At 38.3% G+C, this 17,849-nt stretch overlaps 1 protein-coding gene across 4 annotated transcripts in view; it reads left to right on the top strand.

Annotated features, from left to right (window-relative positions):
- CUL4B (cullin 4B) overlaps positions 1-13,809 on the top strand; it is a 51,675-nt gene extending 37,866 nt beyond the window's left edge. For 3 of the 4 annotated variants that reach the window (NM_003588.4, NM_001330624.2, NM_001079872.2), the window contains 6 exons: positions 633-740; positions 1,724-1,837; positions 3,081-3,186; positions 5,073-5,245; positions 7,413-7,565; positions 10,811-13,809. In NM_003588.4, the coding sequence (NP_003579.3) occupies positions 633-740; positions 1,724-1,837; positions 3,081-3,186; positions 5,073-5,245; positions 7,413-7,565; positions 10,811-10,906 (750 nt within the window). In that variant the 3' untranslated portion in view covers positions 10,907-13,809. The remainder of the gene's footprint in view (positions 1-632; positions 741-1,723; positions 1,838-3,080; positions 3,187-5,072; positions 5,246-7,412; positions 7,566-10,810) is intronic. The other variant, NM_001369145.1, reaches the window with a different exon arrangement.

Genomic DNA, 17,849 nt, shown 5'->3' with positions numbered 1-17,849 from the left:
ATGGCAAATTAGATTTTCCTCTTTTGGGTTTTAGTAGTGACTTCTTTACCCCACAGTGTTGCTAAGGTGGGAAGTGGAAGTGAAAGAATTAAGAAAAAATCAGGGTCAGTAAGATTATGGATTCTATAGTAGCTACAGAATAGGGCTTATCTGCTTTGCCCTTTTCCCCTCTTTTTCCTTCCCTACTCCAGGTCACTCCCTGCAGACAGGCAGTGGAGCAAGTGAAAAACTGGAGACTTGGGCTGGCTGGGGGGTGAGGAATGGGGGTTGCTGCAAGGTGTTTAAGCCACATAGGGGTATTCAAAGGTGGGGACTGCAGGTGGTATTGGGGAAAAGAATGGAGAAGAGATCCTATAACGGCCCAGCTGTATGTGAGAAATTATTTAAGTTGATAACGCCTGTAATGAGGTCATGTGATCCTTGTATGCCTTTGTATCAAAATGTTAACCTCTGTACTTGCCTAGTGCATTTTGTGTAGGTTTCATTTAAAGTCTTCTTAATAGTTGCCTTTTATTTTAAGGATGGTCAGTGTTTGCATGTAATTTCATAACAGGGAACTTCTTAAATAGGTTATTATGATATGAAATGTATGCAGTTTTAAGATCTCAGTGTGTGTTTTGATCTTCTTATAGTATATGCAGAATCAGAATGTTCCGGGAAATATTGAGTTAACTGTGAATATCCTGACAATGGGCTATTGGCCGACATATGTGCCTATGGAAGTTCATTTACCACCAGAGGTAAGAGTTACTGTTTAGAACTGAGTTATAGGCATAGAAATCATAGCATTTCCATTTTGCTTGTCATTTAAAAATAGATACTTAGAAAAAAATAGAGACCCAGGGTCTCGCTGTATTGCTCAGGCTGGTCTTGAACTCTTGGGCTCAAGTGATCCCCCCCGCCTCAGCCTTCCGAAGTGCTGGGATTACAGGTGTAAGTCACCAGGCTTGGCATGGATACTTTTAAAAGTGTATGTCAGTAAGCGCACCAACACCAAATACCAACTGCTTTAATGTTTTACTTTTGTACTTAGAAGTCCAGTTAAGCACATAGCTAATAATGCCAAATTTCTGGGTTCAGGGTCAATTTCCCTGGCTCTTCTTCCATCTTCCCAGGTTATACCCCTCACTCTACCTAGCTATTAAGAATTCTTGCACATATTTCACCCATAGGTGGGATTGCTAAATGATGGGTCCTTGATTAAATCTATCCTGACTCCTGGTAAACTGTCTAGTCCAGGACTGAAGCCCATAAAAGGGATTAAGGCTAGACAGATAGATATTGAGAATCCTCCATGGAGATGATTATGAAGGCCCAGGGAGTAGATTTCTCTCAAAGAGGAAGAAAAAACAGCAGAGGCAGAACTTTAGAAAAGGCTCACATTTGGCAGATGGTAGAAAGAGGAACCTGTGAAGGAAACCAATGCAGAAGCAACAGTGAAATAAAGGAAGCAGCATAGTGCAGAGGCACAAAAGCTGCTGCAGGTGAATGTTTCAAAAGAGGGGATGATTAAATGTTCAGAGAGAGCAAAAGGTATAAATCCTAATAAATCCCATTTGATTTGGTGGTTGGGAGATCATTGTTTTTCATCAAAGTGATTGGTGGACCTACTGGATATAGTCTTAAAATTTTCCAGAAACTATATCACATGAGGTAAGTATAAAAATGGTAAATGTGGTATTGGATACAGAGCTTAAATAAAGCCTTATTTTATTTACTTTAGATGGTAAAACTTCAGGAGATTTTCAAGACATTTTACCTAGGCAAACATAGTGGCAGGAAACTTCAGTGGCAGTCAACCCTAGGACACTGTGTGTTAAAAGCAGAATTTAAAGAGGTAAGTGGATGTTCCCAAAACTTTTAGTTTTCATCTTTATCTTTAATGTTTAGGTCATCCTTCTTAACTGAAAGTTTAGGCTATTGTTTTTTGTTTTCTTCTTTTTTTTTTTTTTTTTTTTTTTTGAGACAGAGTCTCACTCTGTCACCAGAGTGGAGTGCAGTGGCGCTATCTTGGCTCACCGCAACCTCTGCCTCCTGGGTTCAGGTGATTCTCCTGCCTCAGCCTCCCGAGTGGCTGGGACTACAGGCGTGCGCCACCATACCCAGCTAATTTTTTTTGTATTTTTAGTGGAGACGGGGTTTCACCATGTTGGCCAGGATGGTCTCTGTCTCTTGACCTTGTGATCCACGCGCCTCGGCCTCCTAAAGTGCTGGGATTACAGGTGTGAACCACCGCATCTGGCCAGTTTAAGCTGTTGTTTTATAATTGTATCCTAGATATCCGCATGATGACAGTGATAGTTTGTCATAGCTTTATGTATTTTTAAGTAATTTTAGGTGTGTGGTCTTTCCACGATTGATTTGGCCCTTCTGCAAAATGAAAAGCAGTGAACTTTCCCCCTACCCTTTCCTCACCTGTGGATGAAAACTGTACACTGCCACTTCCTATTTTTATTTATTTGTTTATTTTTAGAGATAGGGTCCCACTCTGTCACCCAGGCAGGAGTACAGTGGCACAATCATAGTTCACTGTAACCTCAAACTCATGGGCTCAAGCTATCCCCCTGCCTCCGCTTCCTAAAGTGCTGGGATTACAGGCATGAGCAACTACACTTAGTCTAACACTGCCACTTCTTGACAGAAATCTTGTTGCTGGGAGCTACGAATAGAGTGGGAGTTAAGGGAAACAGTGTGCAATATCTAATCTCAAAAAACTTTAGCTTTTCATGACTAATCTGAGCCAAACAAATCAAAAATACATTTGAAATAGTGATTTCTTGCTGCTTGTGATGAATATCTAGAATGACACATAAGGCTGATTAATTTTCATTACTGTATTCTATTTATAAGGCTTAAAAAAAAACTGTTAAAAGGTCAGCTAATCCTTCCCCCTATTTTAGGTAGGGTCACACCTAAACCTCACACTGAAATACTGTATTACCACGTCAAGTGGCTTTGCTGGATAATGCTAATCATGTTTCTAAATCCACTAATTGAAAAATGCTTTTCCTATAAGAGATGATTAATTTTTCATGTGTTTTTAAAAAAGTGATGACTAAACACTTTTATTTCTTCAACAGGGTAAAAAGGAACTCCAGGTCTCTCTTTTTCAAACACTGGTGCTGCTAATGTTTAATGAGGGAGAGGAGTTCAGTTTAGAAGAGATCAAGCAGGCAACTGGAATAGGTTTGTAGCAAACATTAATTGTTCACTATGTGCACACCACTATGTTAAGAGGTCTGGGGGACATATTTATAGGAATAATTCCTTGCCTCAGAACTGTTTTGAGTTTTTTTTTTCTTTTTTTTTAATGAGACAGGGTCTCACTCTGTCACCCAGGCTGGGGTCCAGTGGTACAATCATGGCTCAGGCTCAAGTGATTCTCCTGCCTCAGCCTGCCAAGCAGATGGGACTACAAGTGCATGCCACCGTGCCTGGCTAATTTTTAAAATTTTTTTTTGTAGAGACAGGGTCTCACTATGTTGCTTAGCCTGGTCTCAAACTCCTGGGCTCAAGGGGTCTTCCTGCCTCAGCCTCCCTAAGTACTGCAATTACAGGCATGAGCCCCTGCAGCCAGCCAGAACTCTTTTTTTTTCCCCTCAAGACGGAATCTTGCTCTGTCACCCAGGCTGGAGTGCAGTGGCGCGATCTCGGCTCACTGCAACCTCTGCCTCCTGTGTTCAAGCAATTCTCCTGCCTCTGCCTCCCGAGTAGCTGGGATTACAGGCGCCTGCCACCACACCTGGCTAATGTTTGTATTTTTAGTAGAGACGGGGTTTCACCATGTTGGCCAGGCTGGTCTCGAACTCCTGACCTCGTGATCCGCCTGCCTCGGCCTACCAAAGTGCTGGGATTACAGGTGTGAGCCACCGCGCCTGGCCAGAACTCTTTATATAACCATAGGGAAAGGGGGAAATGACACTTGAAATAATGTCAAAACCCATAAGTACTGGCTTGTGGTACTGACTATAAGTGTGGTAAGAGTGCAACAAAGCAAGAGATCACCGTGGACTGGCACAATTGGGAAAGCTGTCATGAAGCAAGTGGCATTTGAGCTGGGCCTTCAAGTTTTGGTCAGGGAGAAGGCATATACAGCAAGGGGAAATATTTTGAGATGAGGTTGGGAGGTAGGAATGGGCACAGTATAGGCCCATGAAGAGCTTAATTGTAGCATAGAATCATGAAGAATCATGAAGAGCTTAATTGTAACATAGAATAGTGAGTTAAAAAATTAGGTAAGATGAGTAGGGCCTGATTGTGGAGAACCTGATAAGTCTAGCAAATGAAACCTACACTGTAGTGTCTCAACTATGTGGCATGGTGGAAGTAATTATTTGGACCACTTACTGAAATCAATCTACAGGGCAACTGGAAGGATCAAGGGATTCCAGTTTAGATGCTATTGGGATGATTCAGGCATAAAGTAGAAGGGACTTAGACTAGAATGAGACCATGAAAATGGAGAAAACTCATCTCTGCGGAAGCAGCGGCTAGCTATTATGTTGAGGATGAAGGAGAAGGAAAAGTTAAAAGATGATTTTAGGGTTTCCCAACTGAGAAGGTTAGTGGTATCACCACTGACAATTGGAAAGAGGACACAGTTATATGGAGATGATGAATCAAATTTTGGACGTAACTACAGTTGATAGTAAAACAGCCAGGCGGAATTGCCCTTTAAACGTGCAACTGGAGAGAAGTGAAATGTCATTTTGGAATATTTGGTAGTTGCCCACATGGTATGATAATTGACGTCTTTAAAAGAGGACTAGGGGCCGGGCGTGGTGGCTCACATCTGTAATCCCAGCACTTTGGGAGGCCAAGGCGGGTGGATCACTTGAGCTCAGGAGTTTGAGACCAGCCTGGGCAACATGGTGAAACCCCGCCTCTATTTTTTTTAAAAAAGAAGAGGACTAGGAAAAAAGCCATTGGCTAGAACAAAGAAAAGTTGTTGGTGACCTTTGGGAAAAAATGAAATAGTTTTAATAGGGGGATGGAGTGGAAGCTAGATTGAGGTAGAATGTCGTAGTTGTTCATGCTGGTAACAAATAACTAAACCTCTGTTTCTTCTTCAGAGGATGGAGAGTTAAGGAGAACACTGCAGTCATTAGCCTGTGGCAAAGCTAGAGTTCTGGCGAAAAATCCAAAGGGCAAAGACATTGAAGATGGTGACAAGTTCATTTGTAATGATGATTTCAAACATAAACTTTTCAGGATAAAGATCAATCAAATCCAGATGAAAGAAACGGTATTTCTTTCACTTTCTCTTAGTCCTAACACACTGGAATTATACATGTTAATAATCAAAATATATAAAGATTTTTATACCTGTAATACTGCCAATACCATTAATATTTTTTGTGTCTATGTCCAGCTAAATATGTTTCCTGATTTGATTTTGGGTGTTTGGGAGAGTGGTTGTACAGGATTGAGATGATACTCAACATAGTTTCATATCTTACTTTGTTTATTTAGTATTCAATCTTTAGAATTTTTCCATGCCATTAAATAGCTTCGAAAAATGGCAGATGGCAGTGTAATATTTTTACATGGCTCTTATAGTTTGTTCAACCACTGTTCATTTTGGGGCAATTAAATTCATGACTTATTAGTATTATAAATAAGATTGCAAGAAACCTCTTTGAAACTAAATTTTAATCTCTGATATATGATAAATTTGTGGAAGTAGATTTTTTTGGGTTAAAGGGTATGAACATTTTAGGAGTCTTAGTACATAATGTCATATTGTGTTCCGGAAAGGCTGGACCAGTTTATACTCTGTCCAGCAGCATATGAGAGCCTGTCTTACTATGTCCCCCAGCACTAAAGATTATATTTTCTTTTGCCAACTTGCTTGGTGAAAAATCTGAATTGATTTATTCACTATTTATTTGATTAACAGTGAAGGTGGGCCAGGTACGGTGGTTCACACCTGTAATCCCAGTACCTTGGGAGGCCGAGGCGGGCAGATCACCTGAGGTCAGGAGTTCAAAACCAGCTTGGCCAACATGGCGATACCCTGTCTCTACTAAAAATACAAAAATCAGCTGGGCGTGGTGGTGCGTGCTTGTAGTCCCAGCTACTTGGGAGGCTGAGGCATGAGAATCACCTGAACCCGGGATGTGGAGGTTGCAGTGAGCTGAGATCGCGCCACTGCACTGCAGCCTGGGTGACAGTGAGACTCTGTTTAAAAAAAAGAAAAAAAAAACAAAAACAGGGAAGGTGAATATTTTGTTTGTTTTTGCCATTTGAATTTGTAAGAGACTTCCAACTGCAGCATCCTGAAACTGATGGTTTCAGTTCCAATAAGGTTTAATGCAATATTTGAAAAAAAAAAAATTTTTTTTTTGAGGTGGAGTCTCACTCTGTCACCCAGGCTGGAGTCAGTGGCACGATCTTGGCTCACTGCAGCCTCCGCCTTCCAGGTTCAAGCGATTATCCTGCCTCAGCCTCCTGAGTAGCTGGGACTACATGCGTGAGCGACCATGCCCGGCTAATTTTTGTATTTTAAGTAGAGATGGGTTTTCACCATATTGACCAGGCAGGTCTTGAACTCCTGACCTCATGATCCGCCCATCTCGGCCTCCCAAAGTGCTGGAATTATAGGTGTGAGCCACTGAGCCCGACTGAAAAAATTTTAATGTAGGACAGCGACCAGTATCTCCAAACAAGTTCCTGTCATTTTCACATACACATCAAAGACAGGATATTTTCTTAAAGGATTACCATGTCCTTACTTTTAAAACATTTATGCTGTACCAGGAAGAAACTGCTGCAAAAAGGCCAAACTGTTTTTTTGGTTTAATTACTAAAGATGAACATTTTTACTTTAGCATCAAGATTGGTAAACCGCCTCCTAAATACCTACATTTCTGTAAGTCTTGAAGGATTGTAAGCACTAATGGCATGCATGTCTGATTTATATATTACAAAATAAAAATTAATTTTCAAAGAGGTTGACTCTTAACTAGTTTGCTTAGCCAGTTAATACCATGCCTTGAGTCAGAGATCAGACAGAGTCACCTTATAGACAAGCTATTGTCATAGAGAAATCTGGTTAACAATCCATTGAAACTGATACACACATTTAGAAGATATATCAAAGACAGAGTAAAAAAACAAAATGGTAAATTCCACATCAGCTATCTCTACTTCTAGAAAAGCAATTCAAAGATGATGTTTTTCTATTAACTAATATTAGCATTACTTCATTGGTATAGGGCAATATAATCAGAACAGAAAGGAGTTATGTTTGTAGGATTTTTCTCTGTCAGCATCTATATTTATAAGACCCCATTTAGATAATTCAGTACCTTTAAAGCAATAACAATGTCATGTCCCTAAAATGCACAATTTATGTAAATAGTCAGGTTTTGCTTCTGGTATAATTCCTAGGTTTAAAACTTTTTTGTTAGGTTGAAGAACAAGCAAGCACTACAGAAAGAGTATTTCAAGACAGACAGTATCAAATTGATGCTGCAATTGTTCGAATTATGAAGATGAGAAAGACACTTAGCCACAATCTCCTTGTTTCAGAAGTGTACAACCAGTTGAAATTTCCAGTAAAGGTAGGTACTTCTGTGTTTTCCTATTGAGCGTGTTATAAATAAAAGAAAGTACATTAGATTTTCAGACACAAATCTTGCAAACATAAAGCGTCATGACCATTTAGAGAGAGAAAAGTTTTAATTTCCCATGTTGATGCATATGATTTCCAAAAAAAAAAACTTTGTTGGCATATGTGGGCAGCAGTGACAAAAGGGAAAAATAACAGAAAAGCCTGGATACCTGAAAGTTTAACTGCTAAATGAGTGTTTGAAATTTTCAAGTTTATTCACTATATTTCTTTTGAACTTCTTGGTTGGTTATTTACTTCTTTTCCTCTTGAAATACCATGGTATTTATTGAAATACCATGGTATTTGACAGATTTAGTTATTGTGGATTGAGTTAAATCTCCTGTTTAGTTAGCTTATATAAGAGATCATCTGTTAAAAACCATACAGATAACTAGTCATGATTAAGCATCTTTTTGAAAAGTGTAGTGATAGTTCTGGTAAACTGAAATTGGTCATTAAATGGAAACGTTCCATTGTGAATGACCAATAATAAAGTCACTTAATGTGATGTTGTACTGGCCTTTTTTCCAAGTTTTAGGAGGTAGATAGCCAAACCCTTGGATGATAAACATTGATAGAGTTTGAATAGACTGCTAGCTATTAGGGTTCTTATGAGCTTTGGACTTTCATAAATCACTTCACCATGCTGATCTTGTTTCCTCTTTTGTAAAACTGAGATAATAATAGTACTTACCTTGTAGGATTATTGTGAGGTTTAAGTGAGATCATGAATGTAAAAATCTTAGCACTGGACCTGGTACATAATAAGCACTCGGTAGCTCTTAGTTCTAATAAGGTAAGCATTTTCTTTTCTCCAAACCTAATATCGCACTCCTCATTACCACCCTCTCACCCTCATGCTCTGCTTAATAGTCATTTCACCTCAAGCCAGAGAGATCACTGATGCTGGGGAAATTAGGGGATCGCTGTAGTTAATATTGTGCTGATATTCTAGGTCTTTCACCATAATTAAGAGAAGTCATCTGATTTCCCAACCTTGGGATTACTGGATAAAATTTTCACTGCTGTATCAGACTACTTCCCCTCTTTTCCCCTCTTGAACAAGTGGTCATTTTACTTATCCTGAAAAACTTTCTATTAGCAAACAAGATTATATTATATTTACAGACTAGATACATAAGATATATAGTGGAATTTTGTCATCCAGGAGCTTAGAATGCAATCATGAAGATAAAGCTACAAGCTTTCTTGATTACTTTTAAATCACAGGATGCAGAAATCCAAGTCACTTAGATGCACTAAACCAGAAATATGAAGATCTAAATTATGAGGTACTTCATTTATCAAGCCATTTCATGTAGTTTTTTTTTGAGATGGAGTCTCGCTCTGTCATCCAGGCTGGAGTGCAGTGGCATGATCTTGGCTCACTGCAGCGTCTGCCTCCCGGGTTCAAGCAATTCTTTTGCCTCAGCCTCTCGAGTAGCTGGGACCACAGGTGCGCACAATCACGCCTGGCTAATTTTTGTGTTTTTAGTAGAGACGGGGTTTTACCATATTGGTCAGGCTGGTCTCGAACTCCTGACCTCATGATCTGCCCACAGCCTCCCAAAGTGCTGGGATTACAGGCATGAGCCACTGCACCTGTCCAGTATTCTTTTAAATAGTGATTTTTTTTTTTTTTGAGATGGAGTCTTCTTGCTCTGTCACCCAGGTTGGAGTGCAGTGGCGCGATCACGTTTCACTACAACCTCCACCTCCCGGGTTCAAGCAATTCTCCTGCCTCAGTCTCCCTGGTAGCTGAGACTACAGGCGCCCACCACCACACCTGGCTAATTCTTGTATTTTTAGTACAGATGGGGTTTTGCCATGTTAGCCAGTCTGGTCTCAAACTTCTGACCTCAGGTGATCCACCCATCTTAGCCTCCCAAAGTGCTGGGATTACAGGCATGAGCCACCACACCCGGTCTAAATAGTGATTTCATCAGTACGTTTTAAATCTTAATTTATAAAAATGAAGCCAACTAACTCTTGCCCAAAGTAAAGGTGTGCTTCATGAACTATCTTGACAAAACTAGTATTCTGTGTCCTTAAACTACCTTACAGTGCTCATGTGAAGTTACAATAAATGTAGTCTTTTGTATTTAACCACGCGAAGGGTAGCTGCTTCTGGCATGACCTCTTTAAAATAGAAAAGTAATAGAAAGTATTCCGTAACAATATGACAAGGATGTGACAGTTTAATGTATGTATAGTATATAGTACAGGTTGAACACCTTTAATGAGAATCCAAAATCTGAAATGCTCTAAAATTGGAAACTTTGAATGCCAACATGATGCCACAGGTGGAAAATTCCACACTTTACCTCATTTGACAGGTTGCAGTCAAAACTTTGTTTCATGCACAAAAGGTATAAAATTATCTTCAGGCTATGTAAGGTATGTATGAAACATAGATGAATTTTGTGTTTAGACTTGGGTCCCATCTCCATGGTATCTCACTATGTATATGCAAATATACCAAAATGAAAAAGTCAGGACCAGGCATGGTAGCTCACACCTGTGAGTACTGGGATTCCAGTACTTTGGGAGGCTGAGGCTGGGGGGATTACTCCAGAACAAGAGTTTAAGGTCAGCCTGGGCGACATAGCAAGACCCTGTCTATTAAAAAAATTAAAAGCTCCAAAAAAAAATCAAAAATCAAAAACACTTTTGGCGTTAAAGAATCTTCAACATACCTGGGCACGGTGGCTCATCCCTGTAATCCCAGCACTTTGGGAGGCTGAGGCAGGTGGATCACCTGAGGTCAGGAGTTCAAGACCAGCCTGGCCAATATGGTGACACCCCATCTCTACCAAAAATACAAAAATTAGCCAGGCGTGGTGGCTTGTGTCTAGTCCCAGCTACTCGGGAAGCTGAGGCAGAAGAATCACTTGAACCCAGGAGGTGGAGGTTGCAGTGAGCCAAAGTGGTGCCACTGCAGTCCAGCCTGGGTGACAGAGCGAGACTCCGTCTCAAAAAAAAAAAAAAAGAATCTTCAACGTGTATAAAACATTTTTTAACCTGGTTTATTTTCATGATACTTTTCTCTAAAAAAGAGATTTAAATAAATAAAAATTTTAAAAAAGGAGATTAAATTCATGAGCCGAAACTGTTGTCTTTTTAATGGGGTATTAACTAAATGGGCTTGAGCCAATGATAATGAACTTTACATTGAAAATTTGCCTTCTCTTACAGCCTGCTGATCTTAAGAAGAGAATAGAATCTTTAATTGACCGGGACTACATGGAAAGAGATAAAGAAAATCCAAACCAGTACAACTATATTGCATAGAATGTTGGCCTTGCAGCATTTGGTGTCATATGCAGTAGCCAGTGGATAAACTAACCTGTTGATTCAATATTATTTGACTCCTTTTTTACTACCGATGACCAAATGAAGCAGTGTAATTAATGGAAATAGTTGAGTGGACTTTTTCTCAGTGGTTAACATGCCCATTTTAAAGAGTAATACTTACCTTTAAGAAGAATGTTGTTGAACTCTTTGCATGTTATTTAGTATGATGTGCAGAAAACACTTAAGAACGTACCTGGTCTTCATGAATTCCTCTTTGGAACTGGGAAAGAGATCCCTGTGGCTATTAAAAAGGGGGGAGGGTTCTTACACACCATTAATTATGAAGCAAAAGGTTTATTTGCTTAAAATGTCATTTAAAGATACTTAAACTGCATGCAAACTTTATTTACTGTACAGAGTTCTGGATGTATTTATCAAATAGAAAAACCACCCTTGACTTGGTTGTTCACCCGTTTTGTGATTTCCCTTGAAAAGAGAAATGAATTGTCATAGCTATTGATATTTTACTAGGTGATGTTCTGTTACACTGAAAGGGATGTTTTTTAAAAAAAATTATTTGGAAACAAGTTTTCAAGTAGGGGGACAGTTGCTTACATAATATCTTGTATATTCACATCCTAAAAATTTTCATTTATGAGTATGGGATGTGTGTATATGGCTTAGCCCCAAGTTAACTGTGCTGATTAACAAGTACTTATAAAAATAGCTAAAGTAGAAAATTAATGATCAGTTGTACTAGAGGAACATCATAGAAGAGAAAAATCCAACTCTTTATATTAAAAATGAATACAATAAGAAAATTGCAAAAGAGACCAAAATGAACGTGTTTTGTAAATTGTTACAGGAGCAAAAACTTTGCAACTAGTTTTCAACATACTTTAGACTTTAAATGTTGTTTGGACAGTTTTGTCTTCAACTTGGACCAATTGTAGATTGTTACAGGCTTCCTAGGATTTAGCATTCCTATTTTCTCTACCAAAGTTTTTTTTAGAAGCATCCCAACTCTTCTCTTTGTTGATAAATAAGCCTTTCCTGTCATCTTCATTTTAACTTGCTAAAACCCTAGATACAAAGGTCCTCCCTCATTTTTCCCACAGAGCCCCTGTTTGGGAATTTGAGATTCTGTGTCATGCTGGTTTTCCTTTCAGAATTGCTTGAAATCGAGTTCTCTTAGCCACTGGACACCTAGTTTTCAGGAGAATGTCCCAAGATTGTTTATATATACAAAATGGCAAAAGTACTGTTTTTCGAATTGATAATTCAAGCAAAGGCTTCTCTTTACTGTCACTGATTTTTTTTTGTTTTTATTTTGTTTCCTTGTTTCTATTTCCTTGAAGCTTTGAAGGGAGGAGAAGCAGAAAATTTTGTTTATGTTTGTTAAAAATCAGAACTACTTAATGCTTTTTGCCACAGCATATTTCCTTGCCTGTTGGAGCCGTTAGGAAGATTACCTATGTCCTAATCTTCAACCTGAGAAGATTTTTGACTCTTGTGTCTACTGTTGATTGTTTGCTTGAGTTCTCAAAGACCTGTGGCCAGGTATTTTAAAAAGTCGTCTATTTCTTTCTAGTTGCATCAACTTGCACACTGGTGTCTAACTATATGTGGTATTCGGAACTTGTAATTCTTATTGAGCAGCCATTGCCTATATTTTCTCAGCTCCTCACTGATTTCTTTATATGAGCTCAGCTGACAAGCAAATGCAGCTATTTTGTTTACCCTCTCTTCATACCGGACCATCAACAACAGTGTTCTAACTCATCCCTGATGGTCTGTGAGATGTAGACTATTACACAAGATTCAAGTTACTCGTAAGCAACTTTTAGATAGAGTTGGTCCTGTTAGGAGGAGACTCTTGATGTCACCTTCAGTATCTTGAAAGCGGGTCCCCTCCCCGAGGCTCTTAATTCTTTGAAAACTTGATGCTGTTTCAGCTGAAAAATTAGCAAGACTGTTAAAAAAAAAAAGTTGAGGGGAGCTGTTTAAGAAACTGAAAAGTAATTGCAAACTACATTGGATAATTGTGACTTTCAGTTGTTGTTCTGTATCAGTTGAATTTTTGTGCTCTTTTCCCTGTGTACGTGGTGGTTCTATTTTTCTCCAATAAAACTTTTATTTAAAAAAAGTTTCTAGAGAAGATCTTTAAAATTCAAGTATTGTAAGAAAGTTATAAAATCACAGGACTTAAAATCTTCCTAACAACTTCTAATGAACTCACATTTGTTGATTTTGTTATTTTTAAACTTTTTAAAAATTTTGTAATGGTTTTGTGGTAATGCTATAAGAGTATGGGGGAGGGCATGGTTAACAGGGTGAGGAAAATTCCCAGGAATCCTCAAGGTGGATAATTATTCTTAAACATGCGGATACAAGTATAAACATTGCTTCATTCAAATCCTCAGTGTCAAATTGTTTCATAAAGTCAATATGAAATGAGTCTAGATTTGAGTTCAGGGGAGAAGAAAAGATTACTCTTAGTTATGGCATTTGCTCTGCCTTTTCTGTTAATAGTTTTTTGAGTTCTGGGCCAGATACTCTCAGAGTAAGATGTTCCTCAAAGTTTTTGAACCCAGTTCCTGAGTCTGCTTGAATGGTCTTAATATGATGTCTAGCCATACTCTTGAAATTTTTGCTGTGTATGTGAGTGTACAGTTCAGAAAACCAGTTTATCTGGGCATCTGGATCTAAAGATTTGAGAAGTTTGTTTTTTAATCTGGATATTCATAAATCTTTTAAAATGAGCTGGTCTTTGTTTTCATGACCACTCTGTTTAATGCTGTGAATGGCAGGAGTGTTGTGAGCGTGTTCTATTCTCTTATTTACATAAAATTGCCAAAACAAATTGTTCATTAAAAAGAAAAGAGCAGTACTGATGAAAATTTGCATAATTATGCTTTGTAAAATGATATCTTGCTAATGCTTCATTAATGAATATTTTTCAGTGTCCTACAAAAAAACACCTGCTTTACATTTGAATACTGAAGTTTGTTCACCTGCAAACACTTGGTTGAAATCAAACACTTTGCTCAATTATTTTCCTTTTTCCCCTTGCTATTATAAAAAAGGGTATTTCTTCTTTTGAATGGACACATAATGTACCTTTATGTTTAACAATCCTTAGAAGTCATCTCTAGCATAGTGAAAAAGACTCTGACCTTTCTTTTGTAAAACCGTTTCTATTGGATGTAAAATATAAGAATGTGCTGCACTGGCATGTTAGAACTTAATAGTTTTGCCAGCTATAACAACAACAGATCCTCTTCATTTGTTCTCTAATTTCAAAACTTTTCTTTAATTTTTAAATTTTTTATTGTGGTAAAGTACACACAAAATTTACCATTCTAACCATGATAAAGTATACAATTCTGACATTTAGTACATTCACAATATTGTGCAGTCACCATTATGTAGTTCCAGAACATTTTCATCAACTCTAAAGGAAACTTGGCACCAATAAGCAGTCATTTCCCATTCCCCATTTCACCCAGCCTCTGGAAACCACTGCTTTCTGTCTCTATGGATTTGCCTATTCTGGATATTTCCTATCAATGGAATCATTATGTGACTTTTTGTATCTGGTTTCTTTCACTTAGCATGATGTTTTCAAGGTTCCTCCACGTCATATGTATTGATACTTCATTCCTTTTTATGTCTGAATAATAGCACGTTGGACATTTGTGTTGTACAAGGTGTTGGACATTTGTATGGTTTCCACCTTCTGGCTGTTGTGCGTAGTGCTGCTATGAAGATTTGTTTACAATTATCTGTTCAAGTCCCTGTTTTAAAATCTTTTGGGAATATACCTAGGAGTGAAATTGCTGGGTTATATGATAGTTCTGTGCTTAACTTCTCGACGAACCACTAAACTTTTCCACAGCAGCTACACCATTTTCTGTTCCCACCAGCAATGTATTTCTCCAATTTCTCCACATCCTCAACACTTGCTGTTTTCTGGTTTTCAGGTATTATCATAATCATCTTAGTGTGAAGTGGTAGTTCATTGTGATTTTGAATCTCATTTCTTTAATGACTAATAATGTTGACCATCTTTTTATGTGGCTATTGGCCATTTGTATATTTTCTTTGGAGAAATGTCTATTCACATTTTTTGGCTGTTTTTTAAATAGGTTGTTTTTTTATTGAGTTGTAAGAATTCTTTCTATATTCTAATATTTTCTCCAGTTCTGTGAATTGCCTTCTCACTCACTTAGTGGCGACCTTTGCACAAGAGTTTTTAATTTTAATGAAGTCTAGTTTATTTTTTATCTGTTACTTGTGCTTTTAGTGTCATTTTTTTTTTATTTTCACTTATAAGCTGTCTGTATGTCATGGTGTCATATTTAAGAAACCATTGCCAAATCAATGCTCATGGTTTTACCCCTGTGTTTTCTTATAAGAGTTTTACAGTTTTATTTCTTATGTTTAGGTCTTTGATCTCGAGTTAGTTTCTATATATGATATGAAGTAAATGTTTAACTTTATTCTTTTGCATGTGGTTATCTAGTTGTCGCAGCACCATTTGTCAGAGGCTATTTTTTCTCCCATTGAATAATCTTATCAACCCTTGTTGAAGATCAATTGGCCATAGCTGTATGGGTTTATTTCTTTTTATATATATATATATATATATACTTTTAAGTTCTAGGGTACATGTGCACAACGTGCAGGTTTGTTACATATGTATACATGTGCCATGTTGGTGTGCTGCACCCATTAACTCGTCATTTACATTAGGCATATCTCCTAATGCTATCCCTACCCCCTACCCTCACCCCACAACAGGCCCCAGAGTGTGGTGTTCCCCTTCCTGTGTCCAAGTGTTCTCGTTGTTCAGTTCGCACCTATGAGTGAGAACATATGGTGTTTGGTTTTCTGTCCTTGCGATAGTTTGCTGAGAATGATGGTCTCCAGCTTCATCCATGTCCCTACAAAGGACATGAACTCATCCTTTTTTATGGCTGCATGGTATTCCGTGGTGTATATGTGCCACATTTTCTTAATCCAGGCTATCATTGATAGACATTTGGATTGGTTCCAAGTCTTTGCTATTGTGAATAGTGCCACAATAAACATACGTGTGCATGTGTCTTTATAGCAGCATGATTTATAATCCTTTGGGTATATACCCAGTAATGGGATGGCTGGGTCAAATGGTATTTCTAGTTCTAGAGCCCTGAGGAATCGCCACACTGCCTTCCACAATGGTTGAACTAGTTTACAGTCCCACCAACAGTGTAAAAGTGTTCCTATTTCTCCACATCCTCTCCAGCACCCGTTGTTTCCTGACTTTTTAATGATTGCCATTCTAACTGGTGTGAGATGGTATCTCATTGTGGTTTTGATTTGCATTTCTCTGATGGCCAGTGATGATGAGCATTTTTTCCTGTGTCTGTTGGCTGCATAAATGTCTTCTTTTTAGAAGTATCTGTTCATATCCTTCACCCACTTTTTGATGGGGTTTGTTTTTTTCTTGTAAATTTGTTTGAGTTCTTTGTAGATTCTGGATATTAGCCCTTTGTCAGATGTGTAGCTTGCAAAAATTTTCTCCCATTCCGTAGGTTGCCTATTCACTCTGATCGTAGTTTCTTTTGCTGTGCAGAAGCCCTTTAGTTTAATTAGATCCCATTTGTCAATTTTGGCTTTTGTTGCCATTGCTTTTGGTGTTTAGACATGAAGTCCTTGCCCATGCCTATGTCCTGAGTGGTATTGCCTAGGTTTTCTTCTAGGGTTTTTATGGTTTTAGGTCTAACATTTAAGTCTTAAATCCATCTTGAATTAATTTTTGTATAAGGTGTAAGGAAGGGATCCAGTTTCAGCTTTCTGCATATGGCTAGCCAGTTTTCCCAGCACCATTTATTAAATAGGGAATCCTTTCACCATTTCTTGTTTTTTGTCAGGTTTGTCAAAGATCAGATGATTGTAGATGTGTGGTATTATTTCTGAGGGCTCTGTTCTGTTCCCTTGGTCTATATGTCTGTTTTGGTACCAGTACCATGCTGTTTTGGTTACTGTAGGCTTGTAGCATAGTTTGAAGTCAGGTAGCGTGATGCCTCCAGCTTTGTTCTTTGGGCTTAGGATTGACTTGGCAATGCAGGCTCTTTTTTGGTTCCATATGAACTTTAGTTTTTTTTCCAATTCTGTGAAGAAAGTCATTGGTAGCTTGATGGGGATGGCATTGAATCTATAAATTACCTTGGGCAGTATGGCCATTTTCACGATATTGATTCTTCCTATCTATGAGCATGGAATGTTCTTCCATTTGTTTGTGTCCTCTTTTATTTCGTTGAGCAGTGGTTTGTAGTTCTCCTTGAAGAGGTCTTTCACATCCCTTGTAAATTGGATTCCTAGGTATTTTATTATTTTTGAAGCAATAGTGAATGGGAGTGCACTCATGATTTGGCTCTCTGTCTGTTATTTGGTGTATAAGAATGCTTGTGATTTTTGCACATTGATTTTGTATCCTGAGACTTTGCTGAAGTTGCTTATCAGCTTAAGGAGATGTTGGGCTGAGATGATGGGGTTTTCTAAATATATACAATCATGTCATCTGCAAACAGGGACAATTTGACTTCCTCTTTTCCTAATTGAATACCCTTTATTTCTTTCTCCTGCCTGATTGCCCTGGCCAGAACTTCCAACACTGTGTTGAATAGGAGTAGTGAGAGAGGGCATCCCTGTCTTGTGCCAGTTTTCAAAGGGAATGCTTCCCGTTTTTGCCCATTCAATATGATATTGGCTGTGGGTTTGTCATAACTAGCTCTTATTATTTTGAGATATGTCCCATCAATACCTAATTTACTGAGAGTTTTTAGCATGAAAGGCTGTTGAATTTTGTCAAAGGTCTTTTCTGCATCTATTGAGATAATCATGTGGTTTTTGTCATTGGTTCTCTTTATATGCTGGATTATGTTTATTGATT

This window comes from Homo sapiens, chromosome X, assembly GCF_000001405.40.
Source record: "Homo sapiens chromosome X, GRCh38.p14 Primary Assembly".
Lineage (NCBI taxonomy): Eukaryota > Metazoa > Chordata > Mammalia > Primates > Hominidae > Homo > Homo sapiens.
Note: the sequence above shows the minus strand (reverse complement) of the source record. Positions and strands in the feature narration are given on the sequence as shown.